This window comes from Homo sapiens, chromosome 12, assembly GCF_000001405.40.
Source record: "Homo sapiens chromosome 12, GRCh38.p14 Primary Assembly".
NCBI classification, from domain to species: Eukaryota; Metazoa; Chordata; class Mammalia; order Primates; family Hominidae; genus Homo; species Homo sapiens.
This window is the reverse complement of record NC_000012.12, coordinates 119607142-119631542: the sequence shown is the minus strand read 5'-3', so window position 1 is coordinate 119631542 and position 24401 is coordinate 119607142. Positions and strand designations below refer to the sequence as shown.

Sequence of the window (24401 nt, the reverse complement as noted above, 5' to 3'; positions counted from 1 at the left end):
GCAGGCAAGAAACCTTGAGTTTCCTTTCATGTTTGAGTGTCCTTTTCTCTTTTATTTGGCCAAAGCCATTTAATTTTCTTTTGTGACACTTCTGTTTTGACATCTTCCCCTCTACCCAGCTGCCACTGGTTGTTCCTGGGTCTGCCTTCTCTGATAGGAAGTGGATCTACCATGACATCTGCTACTGTCTTGGTTGCCAAGGTTGGGTTGGCTGATCTGGAATGTCAAAAGAGGTCTCCTTCCTCCCTCACCCATCTGGGTGAGCCTCCTTTGTCAACCAAGAGAAAGAGGTTGACCTTCTCAGTTTGATGGGTGTAGGACTTTGGTCAAGGGTATAGGAGTAGCCATGCTGCTGTGGCAGAAAAGTGAAAGAATTTCTCAGCATTCTTATCTGTCTTACCAGAAATTACACAGCAAGACAGAGATGGATCTGGACTTGTCATTTCTGGGTCTGAGTTGCCTATCACATGACCTTGCTGTCTGTCAAACCTCTGACGGAAAGTGTTATTGAGTCTAGCAGATGGAGCCCATCTGAGCTGGTTAGAGAAATCAGAATAAATTTGTCCCAGTCCAGAGGGACAACACATCAGCAGCATCCATCTCTTCATGAGATGAGAGCTCCTTGTCAATACCAAAAATATGTAGTGACCTTTCTGCCCTTAAACTAAAACAGTTATGCTAGTTTGATGCAAGTAGGAGTTTATTTAGCAGATGATGTGCTAGGGCAGAGCAAATAGCAATCCTAAATATCCCATTTATTCTCCCACATTTCCTACCCTCTTACAGTTAGGTGGGATTACGTGACTGATTTCAGTCAATGTAAGCCTAAGCGACATTTGTCGCTAGGCAGTAAAAAGCCCATGTGGGATTCTCCAGTCTTCCTCTCCCCCGCCTTTGCCTGAGGACACCTCATGTTCTAGATCTGAAGTTGGCAAACTACAGCCCACAGACAGATGCCTGTTGTTGTAAATAAAGTTTTATTGGAACACAGCCACGCCTGTTCATTTCTATATTGTCTATGGCTGCTTTTGTGCTAAAATGGCAGAGCTAAGTAGCTGTGCCAGAGACCATGATCGGGACCATATGGCCTGCAAGGCTTAAAAGATTTACTATCTGGCCCTTTACAGACAAAGTTTGTTGACTTCTGTCCTAGATAGAGCAGCTACAAGATGGTGCAGCTTTGTATAGCGTGGGACCCTGCATGACTGTGTGGAGGAGAGACCTTCCACTGACCTATATGATCCATGTAATGGATCCATATTGTTGACCTGATCCAAAGAAGCATCCAAACCTTCTTTTTTTATAAATCACTCAGTCTGAGGTATTTCTTTATAGCAATGCAGAATGGACTAACACACTACTTTTGTGCTACAAAGACTGAGTTGAGTAGTTGGGACTATGTCCCTCTGTCCAGAGGATGTAGGGCCTGTAAGGCCAGAAATATTAACTATTTGGTCATTTACCAAAGGAGTTCACCCACTCCCGCACTAGAAGATCCACACTGTTGATATGTCCCTCTGGACTGGGACAAATTTATTCTGAGAAGAAAACATGAAAACCCTTTGGCTTGGGGTTGTTACTGGAGCATAACCTAATCTACCCTAACAGATTCCAACGGGCGTTCGAGAAAGGGCGTTTGACATGGGGAGGGATTCAAAAAGCCTACTTACTTCCTTGTGAAGTGAACTGCACAAGAAATGCCGATGATGAGAAGGCCAATGATGATGGAGGCGATGGCTACCCACTTAGCATTCCGCCCAAGCCGCCTGGCTCCTTCGTAGTCTCCATCGTTGTAGCTGTTCAGAGACTGGGGGACAGAAGGGAAGAGCTGGTGATGACAGATAACCCACAGGGAAAGGGATGGAGGTCCTCAGGCTGTCCTGATGAAAAGGTTCCAAGAGCTCTCTGGTGACTTTGCTCATCTCACTGACAGCCTGCTAAGCAAACAACACAGTCATCCCCTCCTCCAGGAATCCTTCCCTAAACTCTAAGGATGAGTTAACTGCCCCCTCTGTATTTCCTGATGACTTTTGTCTTAGCATTTACGTAACAAGATTTTGTCTCTCCCACCAGCATGTAAGTGCAACGTGGGCAGGGGTCATCGTCTGTCTTTTATCTTTTCTTTTTTTTTTTGAGACAGAGTCTCACTCTGTCACCCAGGCTGAAGTGCAGTGGCACAACCTTGGCTCATGGCAACCTCCGCCTCCCGGGTTCAAGCAATTCTCCTGCCTCAGCCTCCCAAGTAGCTGGGATTACAGGTGCCCGCCACCACGCCTGGCTAATTTTTGTATTTTTAGTAGAGACAGGGTTTTACCACATTGGCCAGGCTGGTCTCAAACTCCTGACCTCAAGTAATCCATCCACCTTGGTCTCCCAGAGTGCTGGGATTACAGGCATGAGCCACCACGCCCGGCCTTCTGTCTTGTTCGGCATACCAGTGTCCAGTGCAATACTTGCCATGTAGAAGATGCTGGATAAGTATTTGTAGCATAAAAACACAAATGAGTATGTCTGTCTTGTTCACTAGAATGGGATTTGCAAATCATGGCCCATGGGCCAAATCCAGCCTGCTGCCTGTTTTTGTAAATAAAGCTTATTTGGAACATAGTCACACTCATTTGTTTACTACTGTCTGTGGCTATTTGATATAGTTTTGTTGTAGGGCAGGTGAGCCCCAGAACTGGGGCCTAGCCTGGGAAGTTTTTTGACCTCTCTCAGGAAAGAATTTAAGAGTGAGCTGGTGGGCCGGGCGTGGTGGCTCATGCCTGTAATCCCAGCACTTTGGGAGGATGAGATGGGCAGATCACGAGGTCAGGAGATCAAGACCATCCTGGCTAACACAGTGAAACCCCGTCTCTACTAAAAATAAAAAAAAATTAGCCGGGCGTGGTGGCGGGCGCCTATAGTCCCAGCTACTTGGGAGGCTGAGGCAAGAGAATGGCGTGAATCTGGGAGGCGGAGCTTGCAGTGAGCCAAGATCGTGCCACTGCACTCCAGCCTGGGCGACTGAGCAAGACTCCATCTCAAAAAAAAAAAAAAAAAAAAAAAAAGAGTGAGCTGGTGGTAGAAGAAAGCAGCTTTAGGCCGGGCGTGCTGGCTCACGCCTGTAATCCCAGCACTTTGGGAGGTCGAGGCAGGTGGATCACCTGAGGTCAGGAGTTCAAGACCATCCTGGCCAACATGGTAAAACTCTGTCTCTACTGAAAATACAAAAAATTAGCCGGGTGTGATGGCAGGCACCTGTAATCCCAGCTACTCGGGAAGCTGAGGCAGGAGAATTGCTTGAACCTGGGAGGCAGAGGTTGCAGTGAGCTGAGATTTTTGCCATTGCACTCCAGCCTGGGCAACAAGAGTGAAACTCCGTCTCAAAAATAAAAATAAAAAAAATAAAATATAAAAGCAGCTTGATTGAGGCAGCAGCATTAGAGCCCTGGTTGAGTTACAGCTCCATGACTGCTCCTGCAGAGCAAGGCTACCCCATAGGTAGCGTGTTGAGAGCAGCAGCTCAGGGCAGTGCTGCAGTCAGATTTATACTCACTTTTAACTATATGTAAATTAAGGGGCAGGTTGTTAAGAAATTTTTAGATAAGGGGTAGTAACTTCTGGGTCGTGGCCCTGAAAAGGGGTGACAACTTCCGAGTCATTGCCCTGGAAAGGGGTGGTAGCTTCTGGGTGTTGCCATAGCAATGGTAAACTGTCATGGCACTGGTGAGCATGTCTTATGGAGAGGAGCTTTGAGTGCCTTTTCCCTGTTTCAGCCGGTCTTCAATCTGGTCTGGAGTCAAGTCCCGCCTCCTACCTCAGTTTGGATGTTTGTTCCCTCCAAATCTCATGTGTAAACGTGATCCCCAATGTTGGAGGTGGGGCCTGGTGGGAGATGTTGTGGTCAGGGGGCAGACCCTCATTAATGGCTTGGTGCCCTCCCTGCAGTAATGAGTTCTCACTCTGTTAGTTCATGTGTGAGCTGGTTGTTTAAAAGAGCCTGGCATCGTTCTCTTGCTCTCTCTCTCTGTCTTGCCACATGACACAATTGTTTTCCCCTTGCTTTCCACAATGAGTAAAGGCTTCCTGAGTCCTCACCGGAAGAAGATACTGGCGCCATGTTTGTTTAGCCTGCAGAACCATGCACCAAACAAACCTCCTTTCTTTATAAATCATTCAGTGTTAGGTATTTCTTTATAGCAGTGCAAAATGGACTGACACACTACTTTTGTGCTACAAAGACAGAGTTGAGTAGTTGGGACTTTGCCTCTCTGTCCAGAGAATGTAGGGCCTGCAAGGCCAAAAATATTTACTATTTGGTCATTTACCAAAGAAGTTCGCCCACTCCTGCACTAGAAGGTCAATCCATGAGGTCAGGGACCTTGGCTGAATTTTTCATCTCCATGCCCAAGCCACGGCTGTCATTCCCAGCTGTTAAAATGTTGAAATACTCTGTACTCACTGATAAATAGCAGCTACTCTGAAGCTTGTCCGCCTTCCCCAATATCCCAGCCATCCCACTTGCTCCTCTGCCTTTTCCCCGGTTTCCCCATGATCCAGCAACTTAAGGGTTATTGGGCTCAGCAGAGCATCTTCTCTGATTCTGTGCTCATGCCAAACTTGTTAAATATTTAAATATCATCCTTGTTTCTAGTACTTAGAGTGGTGTCTGGCACATTGTTGGAGCTCAAGAAATATGTTATTGACTGAATGAGTGCATGAATATTTCTGTTTCCCCACAGAATGTGAAGTTTTTGAGGGCATCTTTGAGGTCTGCAGGACATAGTACACTGCCAGGCAAAGAAGAGGTATTCAGAGACTGCTTGCTGCTGAAATGAAGGCCAGATACTGTTCTTCTCCCTTTAATAATAAGAGAATCTTGACCAAATGACATCATGTGCCTTCTGATAAAATACCCTAGCAAGGACATTTTACCTGTGTAGTTTTCTTTTCTTTTCTTTTTTCTCTTCTCTTCTCTTCTCTTCTCTTCTCTTCTCTTCTCTTCTCTTCTCTTCTCTTCTCCCTTCTCCCTTCTCCCTTCTCCTCCTCCTCCTCCTCCTCCTCCTTTTTCTTCTTTTTTTTTTTTTTCCGGAGACGGAGTCTTGCTTTGTTTCCCAGGCTGGAGTGCAGTGACGTGATCTCAGCTCACTGCAACCTCTGCCTCCTGGGTTCAAGCCATTCTCCCGCCTCAGCCTCCTGAGTAGCTGAGACTAAAGGTGCCTGCCACCACGCGTGGCAAATTTTTGTATTTTTAGCAGAGAGAGTTTCACCATGTTGGCCAGGCTGGTCTCGAACTTCCAGCCTCAAGCAATCCACTTGCCTCGGCCTCTCAGAGTGTTGGGATTACAGGCATGAGCCACTGCACCTGGCCCTATGTAGTTTTCTCAATATACCTAGCTTTTTTTAATTAAGAGGGAATAATAGGGTAAATTCTATTTGAGCAACTTTCTGCAAGACAAATGGCTTGAAATTATTTTTAAAAAGTCAATGTCGTGAAAGACATGCACACCCACCCACCCAAACACATCAGGAGACTCTCCTAGATTAAAGAAAACTAGATGAACCTAACAATTATATGCAATGTATGATCCTTGATCGTGTCTAGGATTAATAAATAAGTAGCAATTACAGATATCTTCGGGATAATTGGGGAAATTCGAGTGTAGAGTAAATGTTAGATAATAATAATGTTAAATTTCTTGAGTGTGATATTTGTATTTTAGTTACACAAGAGAATTTTTTTTTCTACAGAAGATACAGGCTGCATTATCTAGAACTGATATTATTGCAACCTGTACCTAAATTTTCAGCAAAATAAGAATAAAAATGGCAAAAAATGTTAACTATTGATGCAGTTTGGTGATTATATAGGTCATTGTGTTATTTGCTCACTTATATTTGAGGCCTGCAATTTTTCAAAATAAAAAGAACACACAGTTTTGAAAAATAAGCTCTCTTTATCATCCCATGGCTGAGAGTCACCCAACAGTTGTGCTGTAGCCCAAAGAAGACTGGAAATATTTATTTAAAAGTTATGTATGCGCACACCTGTAGTCTAAGTTTCTCAGGAGGCTGAGGTGGCAGGATCACCTGAGCCCACGAGTTTGAGGCTGCAGTGAGCTATGATCGTGCCACTGCACTCCAGCCTGGATGACAGAGTGAGACCTTGTATCAAAGGAAAAAAAAAAAAAAAGAAGAAGTTATGTACAGAAGGACTCCGTCAGTGCTGTGAAATTACAGATTTCACTGAGAACCTCTTCCTTGATTCTGAAATCACAGCACTTCAGTAATAATTGCTCCTCTTCCTGGACTATTAAGGGGGATTAGACATATGCAGACAATTACAAGCCAGAGAAATACCCAGTATACCACAGAGCTTTCTGCTTCCGGAACCTTCCATTAATTCTTGGATCTGGGCCACCTTAGTCAGCAACAGGTGGGAAGACTCAACAATGAAGAGGAATTGCTTTTAGGCCTCTTGTGTGAATGAGAGAGCGAGAACTAAAAACAATGTTAGGGACTTCCAGCAAGGTGAGTTCCTGAATTCTAAGTCACGAATTCTGGAGTTCTCCAGCTTGGGTGTTCATTAGAACCACCTGGGTAGTAAAAAAAAAATACAGAGAACCAGGCTCTATCATGGAGAGATTCTGATTTAACTGATGTGGGGACCAGGTGGCACATGTTTTTTGTGTGTGATTTTTTTGTTGTGGTAAAATATGCCTACAATTTAATCTTTTAATCATTTTTAAGTATACTGTTTAGTGGCATTATGTACATTCGCATTGCTGTGCAACCATGACCCACCATCTATCTCTGGAATTTTCATCTTCCCCAATGGAAACTCCATACCTGTAAAATACTCACTCCCATTCATCCTCTCCCCAGCCCCTGACAACCACAATTCCTTCTGACTCTATAAATTTGACTATTCTGGGTACCTCATGCAAGTGAAATTATGCAGTATTTGTTTTTTGGGGGGACTGGATTCTTTTACTTAGACATAATAATGTCTTCAAAGTTCATCCATGTTATAGTATGTGTCAGAATTTTTTCCCCTTTTAAGGATGAACAATACTCCATTGTAGGGATATATATAATATTCCACTGTAAGGATACACTGCATTTTGTTTATCCCTTCAGCTGTTGATAGATGGCTGAGTTGCTCTTGCATTATTATTATCATTAAAATTTTTTTTTTTTTGAGATGAGGTCTCATTCTGTCACCCAGGTTGGAGCGGAGTGGCACAATCTTGGCTCACTGCAGCCTCGACCTCCTGGGCTCAAGTAATCCTTCCACTTCAGCCTCCTGAGTAGCTGGGACTACAGGTGCATACCACCACACCCAGCTAATTTTTGTTTTTTTTTTAATTTTTGGTAGAGATGGGGTTTTGCCATGTTGCCCAGGCTGGTTTCAAACTCCTGACCTCAAGCAATCCACCTGCCAGAGCCTCCCAAAGTGCTGGGATTACAGGCATGAGCCACCTTACCCAGCCTATTATTATAATTTTTAAGCTTCACAGGATTGAAAACTTCTGGTCTATGTAACTATCCTTAATGTCCTTCAAGGTCAAGATGCCCACCGTCGTTAAATTTATTCCAAGGAAGTATGTAATAGACCATGGGCTTGAAATTCAGAGATCTGAGTTCAAATTCCATGTCTTATCATCTGCAAGAGCTAAGGCAAGTTTTCAACTTTCCTAAGCCTTAGTGCCCTCATCTGTAAATCGGGGGCAATAGTAATAGCGCCCACTTCACATTGAATTAATGTGTGTCAAGTGGTTGGTATTGGCTCCGCACATAGTGTGTGCTCAATAAATGTTAGCTTTTGCTGTGAATTGCCACTTCCTGCCTTGCTCTTATTCTAAATCTGCAATCTTTGGGGTGTACCAGAATCTTCTCTACCCTTGCTGGATCTTTGGGGAGAGTAATCCTTCCACCTCAGCCTCCTGAGTAGCTGGGACTACAGGTGCATACCACCACAACCAGCTAATTTTTTTTTTTTTTTTTGTATTTTTGGTAGAGATGGGGTTTTGCCATGTTGTCCAGGCTGGTGTCAAACTCCTGACCTCAAGCAGTCCACCTGCCTCAGCCTCCCAAACTGCTGAGAAGCTGTTTTAGAGGCTTTACAATCAAAATCACTGCATAGAATATTAGAACCCTAAATTCTGAGCTCATAATCCAGTTTAGAATTATATAAATTCAGACCTTCCCAAACCGACCTATTGTGCTGCCTTGGAAAACACAGTTCTGAGATGATAGCTATGATGATGCATTCATGTTGCTGTAACCATAGGAAAAATAATGAAGTCCCCTCTCTTTTCTAAATGGCAACTCCTGGCTGTTTGGATGAAAAAACAGTTTCGTGTTCTCAGTAGCAGTGACCAAAAAAGTGGGAAGAACAGCCAATCTGTCACGTAGAAGGGTACATCTATCACCTGTGCATTGCCCATGAGCACAGGTGAAATGAGAGTCCCTGGCCATTTGAGTTGTTTGATACAAGGCAGAGAGGCTGTGCTTGGTGACCTGGCTGAAGGGGATTTGGGTGCAAGCCACAGGTGAATCCTGCCCCACGTTCATCACCTGCTGCCACTCTGGCATCTTGTATGTGACCCTCCTTCTTTCCAGGGACATGTAAGGGAGACCTTGAGTGAATCTGGGAATGGGGCTGCTGTTGGCTTGAAAAACAGATGAAAAGCCTCTTTCAGTATTAAGTGTGGAAGCTCCTCTCCCCACAAATCCTTTTCTGAATCCATTTTCTCCCCTGGTACTTGGGAAAAGGGCTGCCCACGGGTAGATCTGCTGGGTAAAAGTAAGAAGATGAGGGGAGGGACGAGAGTGAGAGATTCCAGCTCTGAGATTTCATTGTGAAGGATTTCCATGGCTGGGGGGGTCTCGGGCTTAAGGGTAGAGAACTAACAGTGAAGCAGAAAGAATTCTTTCCCTGCTTCCCCAACATGTCACTGTAATTCTTTTCCTCTTTTAATTGGAATTTTATACTGAGGTTCTCCTGGCAGATGTGACAGACTGAAGCGGTGGAAATGGATTTTAGAGAAAATGCATGGTTTATAAATCTTTTTCTGAAGAGCTTAGAATGTAAACTATTCCATCTGGTGTGGAAGAACTAGGAAGAAACAGGGCAGCTTTAGATACTCAAAATTTATATGATCTTATTTGTTCTTTTAAAAATTACTAATGCAATTTGTGAACATGTAAAACATTTGGATGCTATAGAAGCACATGCAGTCAATAGTAAATCTCTTTCCCTAATCTTACTTCTCAGAGATAACCCTTATTAGCAGTTTGGTGCATCTGATTCTAGATTTTTTCCCCGCATGAATAATATGAAAAGAAAACTGACACTTTCTCCTGCTTCCATTATGACTAAGCACATCATGTATCATAGTCAGGAGAGAGAAACAGCAATTTTCACCCTGAGGTAAACCAAGAATAACAGAGTCAGTCTGTCTAGTCCTGATCCCTCAAATATTAAAACCTTGAGTACTTCCCATAAATTTTGGCAAAGACAACTTCATCACTACCTTTTGCAACTATGATGTCTAAACACGGGTTACTTCCTTTGTGGATATTGTAATATACTCAGAAAGATACTGTTTGTTTTCCAGGAACAGATTAATATAAAACAACTCAGTGACCTTGGCAACTTTGCATCTGTTTTCTTTTAAATACTTGTGTTTTGCTTTGGCTAGCTGGTCTTTTTGAAGGTGGATTCTCTTGTATTTCTTTTGAAGTAAAATCTTTTCTTCTCTAAATGTTTTGGCCTTAAGTCTTTCTTTGACAAAATAACAATGATAACAGATAGTATTTATGAGGCATTTAGTATATGCCAGACACTGTGTTAAATGTTTTTCAAGGATTATTGTATTGGTCCTCACAACACTATGAGCTAGGTGCTTTGTGGTTTCCATTTTACAGATGGGAAAACTGAGGCACAAAGAAGTCAAAGCAATTTGTCCATAGTCACGTGGCTAGTTTGGTACAGTAATTGTACACACACACAGGCACAGACACACAGAAGTTTGTGTTTTTTTTTTCTCTCTTTGTTCTAAGCATATGAATAGGCCAGGTGCAGTGGCTCATACCTGTAATCCCAGCACTTTGGGAGGCTGAGGCAGGAGGATCGCTTGAGTCCAGGAGTTCAAGACCAGCCTGGGCAACATAGCAAGACCCTTGTCTCTACAAAAAATTTTAAAAATTAGCTGGATGCCAGGTGCAGTGATTCATGCCTGTAATCCCAACACTTTGGGAGGCCAAGGCAGGGGATCACGTGAGTCCAGGAGTTCAAGACCAACCTGGGCAAGATAGGGAGACCCTGTATCTACAAAAAATTAGCTGGCGTGGTGGCACATGCTTGTAGTCCCAGCTACTTGGGGATGCTGAGGTGGGAGGATTGCTTGAGTCCCAGTGTTCAAGGCTGCAGTGAGCTATGATTGTGCCACTGCACTCCAGCCTGAGTGATAGAGAAAGACCCTGTTTCAGAAAAAAAAAAAAAAAAAAAGCCAGGTATGGTGGCATGTACCTGTAGTCCCAGCTACTCAGGAGGCTGAGGCGAGAGGATTGCTTGAGCGCAGGAGTTTGAGGTTACAGTGAGCTATGGTTGAACCACTGCACTGTAGCCTGGGTGACAGAGCAAGACCCTGTATCTGAAAAAATAAAAAATATAAAAATACAAACAGTATCATACTACATGTGTTCTGCAATTTGCTTTTTTTTCCACTTAATATGGGGTGGGCAACTTCCCAAGCTAGTGTGTCCAAGTCTATCTTATTCTTGTTTCCTTTCCCCCTTCGTGATTAAAATAATGAGTTATATTGATAGACTTCCTGATGTTACATCATCCTTGTATTCTTGGGGAAAGTCTTGATTTGTTATGGTGCAATCTTTCCTTTGTAACTTTTTATTTTCAAATAGCTTCAAACTTATAGAAACATTGTGAGTTCTATAAACATTGTGAGTATGGTTCTCTTATTCTTTTTAAGGCTTCCTAGTAGTTCATTTAAGTGGTCATGCCTCACCTATAACTATAGACATTTAGTTATTTAAAATTTGTTGAGATTGCATAATATGCTGCAGTGGACATTCTAATTCATACATTTTTGCATACGTTTGAGCCTCTGCTTTTGGTGAATTTCTAGGAATGGAATTGTTGTGTCAAAGGGTATATGGATTTACATTTGGAGAGATAGAGCCAAATTGCCCTGCAGAAAGGTTATCCAAATCTATGCTCCCACTAATTCTTTTAAGTGCTCTTTCCCTGACATCATTGCCAATACTGTATATTATCAATCTATTGTTTCCCCATTCTGATGGGTGAAGAAGAATCTCAAGATAAGATTCCATTAATTAATGGTGAGGTTGAGCCATCTTTTCACACTTCAGATCTTAGCTCCAGTGTTATCTTCTCACAGAGGACTTTTCACCTCCAGCTTATCTAAAACTGGCCAGCTCTCCCTCATGACCCACACAGTGCCTGGAACATAGAAGGAGAGCAATAAGTATGTGTTGAATTAACAAATGTATGTATAAATGAATATTTATTGATCCTACGTATTTCTTCTTGATGAGTTTTGTACCCATACCCTTTGTCTAGTTTTCTGTCGGTTTGTGTTTTCTTACTGAGCTGTGGGAAACTTTTACATATTATGAACCAGCACTGTGCAACAGAAATATAATGGGAGACACACAGGTGATTTTAAATTTTCTAGTAACCACATCAAAAAAGTAAAAATAAGTAGGTGAAATTAACTTCAATAATATATATTCAATCCAACATGTCCAAAATATTATTCAAAGCTGTCTTCAAAAAATATTTTAAAATACTATTATTATAGTGATATTATATTAATATAACTCCTGAGTGAATAGATTTCTACCAGTGTCAGTGTGTTTTTTTTTTTTTCTTGAGACAGGATCTCGCTCTGTCACCCAGGCTGGAGTGCAATGGCATGATCTTGGCTCACTGCAACCTCAACTTCCCTGGCTGAAGTGATCTTCCCACCTCAGCCTCCCAAGTATCTGGGACTACAGGTGAGTGCTACCACTACCAGGTAATTTTTGTATTTTTTGTAGAGATGAGGTTGTGCCATGTTGCCCAGGCTGGTCTTGAACTTCAGAGCTCAAATTATCTGCCTGCCTCGGCCTCCGAAACTGTTGGTATTATAGACATGAGCCACCATGCCTAGCCTACTCTTTTTTCATATGTGTATGCTTCTATGGAATTTTGTCCCATTGTATTCGTCCATTCTTATGCTGCTAATAAAGACATACTTGAGACTGGGCAATTTATAAAGGAAAGAGGTTTAACTGACTCACAGTTCAGCATGGCTGGGGAGGCCTCAGGAAACTTACAATTGTGGTGGAAAGGGAAGCAAACATGTCCTTCTTCACATGGCAGCAGGAGAGGGAAGAATGAGTGCTGAGTGAAGGAGGAAGCCCCTTATAAAACCATCGGATCTTGTGAGAACTTACTCACTATCACATGAATAGCATGGGGGAAACTGGCCACATGATTCAGCTACTTCCTACCAGGTCCCTCCCATGACATGTGGGGATTATGAGAACTACAATTAAAGATGAGATTTGGGTGAGGACACTGCCAAACCATATCATTGCACTCCTGGCCCCTCTCAAATCTCATGTCCTCACATTTCAAGACAAAATCATGCCTTTCCAACAGTCCCCCTAAGTCTCAGCTCATTCCAGCATTAATCCAAAAGTCCAAGTCCAAGTTCTCATCTGAGACAAGACAAATCCCTTCCGCCTATGACCTTGCAAAACCAAAAGCAAGTTAGTCACTTCCTAGATACAATGGGGGTACAGGCATTGGGCAAATACATCTGTTCCACAAGGGAGAAATTGGCCAAAACAAAGTGGCTACAGGCCCCATGCAAGTCCAAAATCCAATAGAGCAGTCATTAAACATTAAATTTCCAAAATGATCCCCTTTGACTCCATGTCTCACATCCAGGTCACACTGATGTAAGAGGTGTGTTCCCATGGCCTTGGACAACTCCACCCCTGTGGCTTTGCAGGGTACAGCCCCCTTCCCTAGCTGCTTTCACAGGCTGGCATTGAGTGCCTGTGGCTTTTCCAGGTGCATGGTGCAGGCTGTTGATGGATCTACCATTCTGGGTTCTGGAGGACAGTGGCCCTCTTCTCACAGCTCCACTAGGCAGTGCCCCAGTGGGGACCTTGTGTGGAGGCTACTACTGCATATTTCCCTTCCATACTTCCCTAGCAGAGGTTTTCCATGAGGGCTCTGCCCCTGCAGCAAATTTCTGCCTGGACATCCAGGCATTTCCATACATCCTCTGAAATCTAGGTGGAGGTTCCCAAACCTCAGTTATTGTCTTCTGCACACCCTCAGGACTAACACCACATGGAAGCTGCCAAGACTTGGGACTTGCACCCTCTGAGGCAATGGTCCAAGCTGTACCTTGGCTCCTTTTAGCCACAGTTGGGGCTGAAACAGCTGGGATGCAGGGCACCATGTCCAGAGGCTGCACACAGCAGGGGGTCCCTGGGCCTGGCCCATGAAACAATTTTCCCTCCTAGGCCTCCAGGCCTGTGATGGGAGGGGCTGCCTTCAAAGTCTCTAACATGCCATGGAGACATTTTTCCCATTGTCTTGGTGATTAACATTTGATTTCTGCAGCTGGCTTGAATTTCTCCCCAGAAAATGGGGTTTCTTTCTTTCTTTTTGTTTTTTTGAGATGGAGTTTCTTTCTTGTTGCCCAGGTTGGAGTGCAATGGCGTGATCTTGGTTCACTGCAACCTCCACCTCCCAGATTCAAGCAGTTCTCTTGCCTCAGCCTCCCGAGTAGCTGGGATTACAGGCATGCACCACCATGCCTGGCTAATTTTGTATTTTTAGTAGAGACAGGGTTTCTCTATTTTGGTCAGGCTGGTCTCGAACTCCTAACCTCAGGTAATCTGCCCACCTTGGCCTCTCAGAGTGCTGGGATTAGAGGCATGAGCCACCGTGCCCGGCTGGGGTTTTCTTTTCTATCACATCATCGGGCTGCAAATTTTTCAAACTTTTATGATCTGCTTCCTCTTTAGTGCTTTGCCATGTAGAAATTTCTTCTGCCAGATCCCCTAAATCATTTGTCTCAAGTTCAATGTTCCATAGATCTCTGGGGCAGGGGCAAAATGTCGCCAGTCTGTTTGCATAGCAAGAGTGACCTTTACTCTAGTTCCCAAAAAGTCCCTCATCTCCATCTGAGACCACCTTAGCCTGGACTTCATTGTCCATATTACTATCAGCATTTTGGTCAAAGCCATTCAACAAGTCTCTAAGAAGTTCTAAACTTTCCTACATCTTCCTGTCTTCTGAGGCCTCCAAGTCTCTAGGAAGTTCCAAACTTTCCCACATTTTCTTGTCTTCTTCTGAGCCCTCCAAACTGTTCCAATCTCTGTCTGTTACCCAGTTCCAAAGTTGCTTCCACATTTTCTGGTATCTTTATAGCAGCTCCCCACTCTCTGTGGTACCAATTTACTGTAATTGTCTGTTCTCACGCTGTTAATAAAGACATACCTGAGACCGGGTAATTTATAAAGGAAAGAGGTTTAATTGACTCACAGTTCCACAGGGCTGGGGAGGCCTCAGGAAACTTATAATCATGGCAGAAGGAGAAGTAAACATGTCCTTCTTCACATGGTGGCAAGAGAGAAAAGAATGAGTGCTGAGCGAAGGGGGAAGCCCCTTACAGAACCATCAGATCTTGTGAGAACTCACCCACTATCACAAGAACAGCATGGGAGAAACTGGCCCCATGATTCAATTACCTCCCACTGGGTTCCTCCCATGACACATGGGGATTATGGGAGCTACAATTCAAGATTGAGATTTGGGTGGGGACAGAGCCAAACAATATCACCCATGTACATTTTAATAACCATGACTACAATCAGGAAACAGAAATGCTCCATCACCACAGAGAAATTCTCCCTGTGACTCCTTGTAAGTCGCACCTTTCCTCCACGTCCATTGTCTGTTCACTTATATTTGTGGTGTTTGGACATTGTTGAGTTCTTTTCTAAGCTATAGCACTCATAATTTCATAAGCCAACCACCCGTATTTGAGGGTGCTAAGCAGCCAGTTGCTGTCTCTCTTCATCCTGCAAAGTATTTTAAAATGAAGGGACTTCAGTTTCTTTCTGGTTTTAATTTTCCTCTGTTATCCAAATGGATCTTATAGAACAAGAGCATAGTCTAATGTTCTAAGAATTCATGACACTTCACTCTTAGGATATAGAACACATGGGTTCTCATCACGTATTTCATAAGGCATGCAGGAGTCTCCTGCAGTGACTCTTCTCTTTGCTCTGGGCCTAGGCTCATGTTGGCAAAACGGAATAACAGTGTTCAGGTCTTGACCAGATGCCTTGAACCAGTGAAGGCCACACTTTGATAGAAGAGTGAGCAAGGTCCTCTCTCCTGTAGTAAATGCTAATGATCTCATGGTCACTGCAGCTGGTTATTTCAAACTTATTTATACACCCCTTCCCTGGATGGACACATGACACCTAAATACCCACGGGGGGAAAGCTGGGCAGAAGTCAGAAGTGACGGTGACCATTTCTATGCTGAACCTCAAAAAGGTTGCTGTGGGGGACGGCAAGACAGTCATGAGGCTGTGCCAGGCAACTCCTGGCATCCACACCTCAAAGAAAAAGAGTCCAGAGTAACCCCATAAATTTTGATAACTGGCACTGAATACCGGTAGGTCTAATGTTCTGAGAGTTCATAACACTTCACACCAGACGGCAAAGCTACTCCACTGCCCTAAGCCAGGAAAATGTGGAAAGTACTTTGTCCTTTCCTTCTGGTCTTCAGATCAGAACTCTTGCTACATCCCACATGATACCCTGGATGAGACAGCAGTACCTATGGGATTGCTGCCAGTGAAGACCGGAGATGAAACTCTCCAAAGTTATATTTTTATATCTCCCTGTATTCATGGTTCCCAGTTCTAGCTGCAACTTAGAATTACCTGGGGTGGGAAGCTTAAAAAATTCCTATACCCAAGTTCCTTCCCAAACCAACTGAATCAGGCTCTCTGGGGGTGGGACCCCAGCATCAGAATTTTTTTTTGAAAGTTTTTCAGGTTATCCTGAGTGCAGCTAGACTTGAGAACCACTGTCCTAGATAGACAGCCATTCATTAATTCATTTATTTGAAAACTACTTCTTGAGTATCACCTGTGTGGCTGGCACTGCTCCCTGCCCTCATGAGGCTTACTTTCTGGTGGAGATAAAAAATAAGTAAACATGCAAATAAATAAGATGAATACAGAATATTATTAAGGCAAAGAAAGTGGGGTGGAGGAGGCAGTTTTTTTTTTTTTTTTTTTTTTTTTTTTTTTTTAGCAGAAAGCGGGTAGACTGAGACCTGAGGGTTTGAGAAGAAGCCAGGCCTGCAGAGAGCAGTGGGGAGAGGATGCCTGGCAGGGAGGATGGCAATTATAAAGGTCTGGAGGGGGGAAAGAACTTTTTTATTGAAGGTTCCCCCCAAAATGCAGTGTGGCTGAGCTGTAGGAGTGAAAGAGAGAGGAGAGGGTACAAGAAAGGAAAGAAAAGAGAGGAGAGAGGAGAGAGATGAGATAAGGCCAAAGGGGAAGCCAGGAGCTATATTAGTCATAATAATGAATCATCATATTAAAATTATAGTTAATATTTATTGAATATTCTGTGCCAGGCCCTGGACTAACCACTATATGTACATCATATAATTGATTCCTTACAATAACCCCCATGGGGATAGAAGTAATCTTATCCCCTATTTTACAGATGAGAAAACTGAGACTCAGAGAGTGGGACACCAACAGTCAAACAGTGTTTCTGTGTTCAAAAGCAACTTTCTAAGGGGACTACAAATGTAACCAAAAGTTAGTGCATCCATCCACAAAGCCCTTAGGATAATTATTTTATTATGCCCCAAAGAAATTAAGAGCAAGATTTGATGTACTATTTGATGCACAGCACCAGGTAGATGACTTTACTTAAATTTAATAAAAATTTGGTTACTGATAGAGAACATAGGGCAAGTATATCTAAGCTGTGCTACTAATTTTACTGTCAAAAATTCATTTTCTTTGTTCTTGCCTCTCTCTCTCTCTCTCTCTCTCTCGTTGAGATGGAGTCTCTCTCTCTCTCACCCAGCCTGGAGTGCAGTGGTGCAATCTCGGCTCACTGAAGCCTCCGCTTCCCACGTTCAAGCGATTCTCCCACCTCAGCCTGCCAAGTAGCTGGGATTACAGATGCACGCCACCATACCCAGCAAATTTTTGTATTTTTATTAGAGATGGGCTTTCACATGTTGGCCAGGCTGGTCTTGAACTCCTGACCTCAGGTGATCCACCTGCCTCAGCCTCCCAAAGTACTCCCTGCTGGGATTACTGGTGGGTAGATGGGATTCGAACATTGTGCTTCCTCAGCTCTAAAGTCTTCCATGGCTCCCTATTTCCCTGGGAGAAACTCACATTCTTCATTCTGCCCTTCCCAACCCTGCAGGAGTGGCCCCTGCAGGCTCTCCTATCTCGTTTGGAGCCTTTTCCCTTGCTCACTGTCTCCCCGTTTCCTGCCCCCGTCTGTGTCCAGGTCATCTCCTCTCTACTTGTGGCCCTCTTCTCTTTCTGTCTCGTGTGGCCAGCATCTGCTCATTCTGGTCTTGGCTGACCTGTTGGCACCTTCAGGGCAGCCTTCTCAGGCCTCCTCATCTCTTCATTTTTTATTTTTTGAGACAAGGTTTTACTCTGTTGCCCAGTGGTGCAATCATAGCTCAGTGCAGCCTCAAACTCTTGGGCTTAAGCAATTCTCCAGCCTCAGCCTCCAGAGTAGCTGGGACCACAGGTGCATGCCACCATGCCCGACTAATTTTTTCATTTTCTGGTAGAGACAGGGTCTTGCTATGTTGCCCAGGCTGGTCTCAGACTCTTGTGCTCAAGTGTTCATCCTGCCTCAGCCTCCGAAAGTGCTGGGATTACAGGCATGAGCCACTGTACTCAGCCAGGTCCCGACATCTTAAGTAGGTCCTGTGACCATAGTCAGTGGGTTCTGACTCAGCTCCTGATTTATTTCCTTTGTGCTCTTGACGCGAGTCACAGTCATTTGATTCAGCGGCCTGTTGACTTTTGAGTGTTTGTTCTGCCACCTGACTGTGAGCTCCGTGAAGGCACAGACCATATCTCAATGTATTCATTGCTCCGGTGCCTAATGGAGGGTCTGACACCTAGCATTCCCTTAATATATATTTCTAATAAAAAAGAAAAAATTCATACAGCTAGGTTTTCATTTTCCAACCTGTAGCCCTTTTTTTTTTTTTTTTTGGAACAGGCTTCTTGGGAATTTGCCCAAATATCTAGCCATTTGGACAGTTGATGATTACTGGTATGTAAAAAGAATGCTTGGTTGACCAAACAATTGGGGGGCTAGGGGAGGCATAGCATTAGGAGAAATACCTAATGTAAATGATGAGTTGATGGGTGCAGCAAACCAACATGGCACATGTATACCTACATAACAAGCCTGCACGTTGTGCACATGTACCCTAGAACTTAAAGTATAATAATAAAAAAACAAAAACAAAAAAAACCTTAGTTTTCCTCTTTTTTTTATTTTTATTTTTTTGACAGGGTCTCATTACATCACCTGGAATGCAGTGGTGAGATCATGGCTCACTGCAGCCTTGACCTCCTGTACTCTAGTGATCCTCCCACCTCAGTCTCCTAAGTAGCTGGGACTACAGGCGCACACCACCACGCCTGGCTAATTTTTTTTTTTTTTTTTTTTGAGACGGAGTCTTGGTCTGTCGCCCAGGCTGGAGTGCAGTGGCGTGATCTTGGCTCACTGCAACCTCCGCCTCCCGGTTCATGCCATTCTCCCGCCTCAGCCTCCCAAGTAGCTGGGACTACAGGTGCCCGCCACCACGCCCGGCTAATTTTGTTTCTGTATTTTTAGTAGAGATGGGGTTTCACCGTGTTAGCCAGGATGGTCTTGATCTCCTGACCTCGTGATCCGCCTGCCTCAGCCTCCCAAAGTCCTGGGATTATAGGCATGAACCACTTCGCCCAGCCAATTTTTTGTATTTTTTGAAGACGGGGTTTTGCCGTGTTGCCCAGGCTGGTCTGGAACTCCTGAGCTCAAGCAATCCACCTGCCTTGGCCTCCCAAAGTGCTGGGATTACAGGTGTGAGTCACTGCACCTGGCCTCCTCATTTGTAAAATGGGGATAAGAATATCTATGCACAGGGCTGGGCGCAGTGGCTCACGCCTGTAATCCCAGCACTTTGGGAGTGCGAGGTGGGGGAATCACAGGGTCAGGAGATTAAGACTATCCTGGCTAACAAGGTGAAACCTCATCTCTACTAAAAATGCAAAAAATTAGCCGGGCATGGTGCCACGTGCCTGTAGTCCCAGCTACTCAGGAGGCTGACGCAGGAGAGTCACTTGAACCCGGGAGGCGGAGGTTGCAGTGAGCTGAGACCACACCACTGCACTCCAGCCTGGGTGACAGAGCGAGACTCTGTCTCAGAAAAAAAAAAAAGAATATCTATGCACAGGTTGGTTGTGAGGCTTACGTGAGATGATGGCGGTAAAGTGGCCCAACACTATCTCACTTAATTTTGAAAACTGAAAGAGAGGTTGGCATTAATATTCCTATTGTATAGGTGGGAAAACCTAGGCTCAGAGAAGCTAGGATAAGAGCAGAGCTGGGATTCAGACTTAGGAGTTGAGTTCAGAGCCTAGCCCAACATGATGTTTGCCTTTGAATCTGTACCCCCTCCCAGTGTTCATGTTGGGAGCCAAAGGAGAAGATACAAGCAAAAATGGAAAGCAGTTTTGTGAAAAACTCTGGGATACATAAACAGACCTCTCAAAAAAGGTTCACAAAGCAGTGAAAGAAGCAAGGGCCAGAAAACCCACAAAAAGGAGAGAAAATATTTGCAATTCACATATCTGATGAAGTATTTGTATCTAGAATATATATATATATATATCTTAAACTCAACAATAAAAAGACAAACAACCCAGTTAAAGAGGGGCAAAGTCTCTGAATGGACATTTCTTTGAAGAAAATATACAAATTGCCAGTAAGCACAGGAAATGCTCAACATCATTAGTCAATGGGGAAATGCAAATCAAAACCTCAAAAATATACCACTTTGCATCTACTGGGATAGCCACAGTAAAAAAGATAATAACATGTGTTATTGAGGATATAGAGAAACTGGAACCCTTGTACAGGGCTGGTGGGATTGCAAAATTGTGTGGGTGCTTTGGAAATGGTCTAGCAGTTCCTCAACAAGTTAAACATATTGTTATCATACCACCCAACAATTCCACTCCTAGCTCTACACCAAAGAAAATTGAAAACATAAGTTCATACAGAAAAGTTGTGCATGAATATTCATAGCAGCATATTTTTAAGAGCCAAAAATGGAATCAATCCAATGTCCATCAATGAATGAATAGAAAAACACAATATAGAATATCCATACAACAGAATATTATTCAGCCTTAAAAAGAAGGAAGTACTGATTAATGCTACAACATGGATGAACCCTGAAAACAGGATGCTAAGTGAAAGAGGACATATATGAAAGATCACATATTGTATGATTTCATTTATAAGAAATATCCAGAATAGGTAAATCCGTAGAGATAGACAGTAGAATAGAGATTGCCAGGGGTTGTGGGGATGAGTAGTGACTGCAAATGGGTTGTATTAATCCATTTTCACGCTGCTATAAAGAAATACCTGAGACGGGTTAATTTATAAGAAAAGAGGTGTAATTGACTCACAGCTCCACATGGCTGGGGAAGCCTCAGGAAACTTACAATCATGGTGGAAAGCACCTCTTTACAGGACAGCAGGAGAGAGAATGAGTGCCAAGTGAATTGGGGAAGAGTCCCTTATAAAACCATCATAATGTCGTGAGAACTCACTATCATGAGAACAGCATGGGGGAAACCACCCCCATGATTCAATTACCTCCCACCAGGTCCCTCCCATGACAGGTGGGGCTTATGGAAACTGCAATTCAAGATGAGATTTGCATGAGGACACAGCTAAACCACAACATTCCATCCATGGCCCCTCCCAAATCTCATGTCCTCACATTTCAAGACACAAAAATCATGCCCTTCCAACAGTCACCCAAAGTCTTAACTCATCCAGCATTAACCTCAAAGTCCAGATCCAAAGTCTCATTGAAGACAAGGCAAGTCCCTTCTGCCTATGAGCCTGTAAAATCAAAAGCAAGTAAGTCACTTCCTAGATACAATAGGAGTACAGGCATTGGGTAAATACACCCATTCTAAATGGGAGAAATTGACCAAAACAAAGGATGCAAGTCCAAAATCCAATAGGGCAGTCATTAAACCTTAACGTTTCAAAATAATCTCCTTTGACTCTATGTCTCACATCCAGGTAATGCTGATACAAGAGGTGGGCTCCCATAGCCTTGGGCAGCTCTGCCTCTGTGGCTTTGCAGGGTATAGTCCCCACCCTGGTTGCTTCCATGGCTGGTGTTGAGTGTCTGTGGGTTGCACCAAGTGCATGGTGCAAGCTATTGATGGATCTACCATTCTGGGGTCTAGAGGATGGTGGCCCTCTTCTCATAGCTCCACTAGGCAGTGCCCCCATGGGGACTCTGTGGGGGGCTCTGACCCCACATTTCCCTTCCACACTGCCCTAGCAGAGGTTCTTCATGAGGACTTCACTCCTGCAGCAAACCTCTGCCTGGACATCCAGGCATTTCCATACATCCTCTGAAATCTAGGCAGAGGTTCCCAAACCTCAATTCTTGACTTCTGTGCACCCTCAGACCCAGCACGATGTGGGAGCCCCCAAGGCTTGAGGCTTGCATCCTCTGAAGCAATGGCCCAAGCTATACTTTGTCCCCTTTTGGTCATGGCTGGAGCTGAAGCAGCTTGGATGCAGGGCATCACGTCTGAGGCTGCACACAGCAGGGGGCCCTGGGCCCATAAAACCATTTTTCCCTCCTAAGCCTCCAGGCCTGTGATAAGAGGGGCTGCCTTGAAGGTCTCTGATATGCCCTGGAGACATTTTGCCCATTGTCTTGGTGATTAACATTTGGCTCCTGGTTACTTATGCAAATTTTTGTAGCCGGCTTGAATTTCTCCCCAGAAAATAGCTTTCTCTTTTCTATGCATTGCTGGGCTGCAAATTTTCCAAACTTTTATGCTCTACTTCCTTCTGAATGCTTTATTGCTTAGAAATTTCTTCTGCCAGATACCCTAAATCATCTCTCTCAAGTTCAAAGTTCCACAGATCTCTAGGGCAGAGGTAAAATGCATCCAGTCTCTTTGCATAGCAAGAGTGACCTTTACTCCAGTTCCCAAAAAGTTCCTTATCTCCATCTGAGACCACCTCAGCCTGGACCATATTGTTCATATCACTATCAGCATTTTGGTCATTCAGCAAGTCTCTAGGAAGTTCCAAACTTTCCCACATTTTCCTGTCTTCTTCTGAGACCTCCAAACTGTTCCAACCTCTGCCTGTTATCCATTTCCAAAGTTGCTTCCACATTTTTGCGTATCCTTATAGCAGCGCCCCACTCCCTCAGTACCAGTTTACTCTATTAATTCATTCTCATGCTGCTATGAAGAAATACCCAAGAAAGGCGGGCATTTATCTCCAGGGCTGCCATAGTGCTTGGCATATAGCAGGTATTCAAACATTTTTGAGTGAATAAATGAATAAATGAATGTAGGAGAACATCCCTCCCTGATTTCTACCCTTGAAGGATGGCAGTAGAAAGTTTCCCACATGCTGTGGAAACTTCTCTGGGGACCAAGCACCCTGTTGCACACTCAAGTGACGCTTCTTCATGTTGACTTTAAGCTCTTCCCCCTCATCTGAATTCCCTCTCCCAGCTTTGCTCTTTAAATATAAGAGTCAACTGCCACCCCAACCAGCTTCTTAACCATGGCGGCAGGGGCTAGAGATTGCCATCATTGGAAGAGAAGGCTGGAGGCCCAGGCTTTCTCTGTCTTTGGCCTTGCAGATTTCTATTTGCCACTCCCTCAGCCTCCTTCATTTTCCTTCTCATTGAAAGTGAGCCTTGGACTTTGCTATAATCAAACATGAATGTGGACAAGAAATCTGGGGGGGATGTTTGAAGTGATGGAGACATTGTCGCTGCTGTCTGCCATTTCCTCCTTTTGGTAGATACTTTCTACAGAATAGTGAGTAAAGGGAATCTTTTCAAGGGAAAAGATCATGGGCCACATGTCTTTCAAAAACATGAAGAATTTATCTCAGGAGCATCAGGTGCCCTCTCTCTGGCTGGGAGATAGATCCAAAAAGTGGGCTTATATTAGAGTGAGCTTCTACTTGGGTAGAGAAAGAGCTACTTCTTACCATTGCAGGCTAAAAAACCCCACTGGAATTGGAACAAAACAAAAACAACAGCAAAACTTGTGTTAACTCTCCAAGCATTAACTTTGGGGCAGGAGCTGTGCTAAGCTGTAGTTTCTCTGTCCTCAATGATCTTCAAGACTAGAATAAAATATCAGAATAAAAGCGTTTTTCTTAAGTTAACTAGAGAGCTGACCATTTCAGGTCTGGAATGATATATGATTTAGAGCAAGAATCACCTTTTGGGGTGGATAAGAATGCATCTAATTACTAGTTGGGCATGGTGGCTCACGCCTGTAATCCCTGCGCTTTGAGAGGCCGAGGTGGGAGAATCTCCTGAGCTCAGGAGTTTGGAGACCAGCAAGAAATACAAAGATTAGTCGGGTGTGGTGATGCATGCCTGTAGTCTCAGCTACTTGGGGGCCTGAGGATGGGGCAGGAGGGTCGCTTGGGCCCGGGAGGTGGGGGCTGCAGTGAACCATTTTTGCACCACTGCACTTGAGCCTGGGAGCCAGGGTGACAAAGCGAGACTCTGTCTCAAAAAAAAAAAAAAATTGCATCTAATTACTAACCTTGTTCTCCTTGTTGAATTCCTTTTTATCTTTAGAAAAATGCTCATTTCAGACTAGAAATGAGGTCTACATACTTTTTATGGAAACTCTGGAAAATATTAAAACTTTTGATAGGAATATTTGAAATGATAATAGGCAAGATTTGTCAAGAACTTTGCATATATTATCCCATTTAATTCAGACAACAATCCCTTGGAGGTAGGTGATATTGTAGAAATACCGCGCGCTAACCGATTGCGCCACTGGAGCTCTGAGGTAGGTGATATTGTTTCCAATTTACAGATGAGGAAATAGAGACTCAGAGAGGTTAAATAATTCAATGAATGTCACCTAACAATAAACAGTAGTGCCAAGATTAAAACCCTGGTGGGTCTGATGATAGAGTTTGTGCTCTACATATTATAACTCTTTATACTGTAACTGTCCAGAATCCTGCTACTTAGA

General features: G+C 43.8%; 1 protein-coding gene, 1 long non-coding RNA gene and 1 pseudogene across 10 annotated transcripts in view; 2 read left to right on the top strand and 1 right to left on the bottom strand.

Moving 5' to 3' along the window:
• The window catches only part of PRKAB1-AS1 (PRKAB1, TMEM233 and CCDC60 antisense RNA 1), a 280141-nt gene that overhangs the window by 36585 nt on the left and 219155 nt on the right, over positions 1 to 24401 (top strand). The gene's annotated exons all lie outside the window — the stretch shown is intronic.
• TMEM233 (transmembrane protein 233) overlaps positions 1 to 24401 on the bottom strand; it is a 60522-nt gene that overhangs the window by 22753 nt on the left and 13368 nt on the right. For all 7 annotated transcript variants that reach the window (XM_011538329.3, XM_011538330.3, XM_005253881.4 and 4 more), the window contains exon 2: positions 1671 to 1807. In XM_011538329.3, the coding sequence (XP_011536631.1) occupies positions 1671 to 1807 (137 nt within the window). The remainder of the gene's footprint in view (positions 1 to 1670; positions 1808 to 24401) is intronic.
• RN7SKP197 (RN7SK pseudogene 197) lies at positions 157 to 453 on the top strand (annotated as a pseudogene).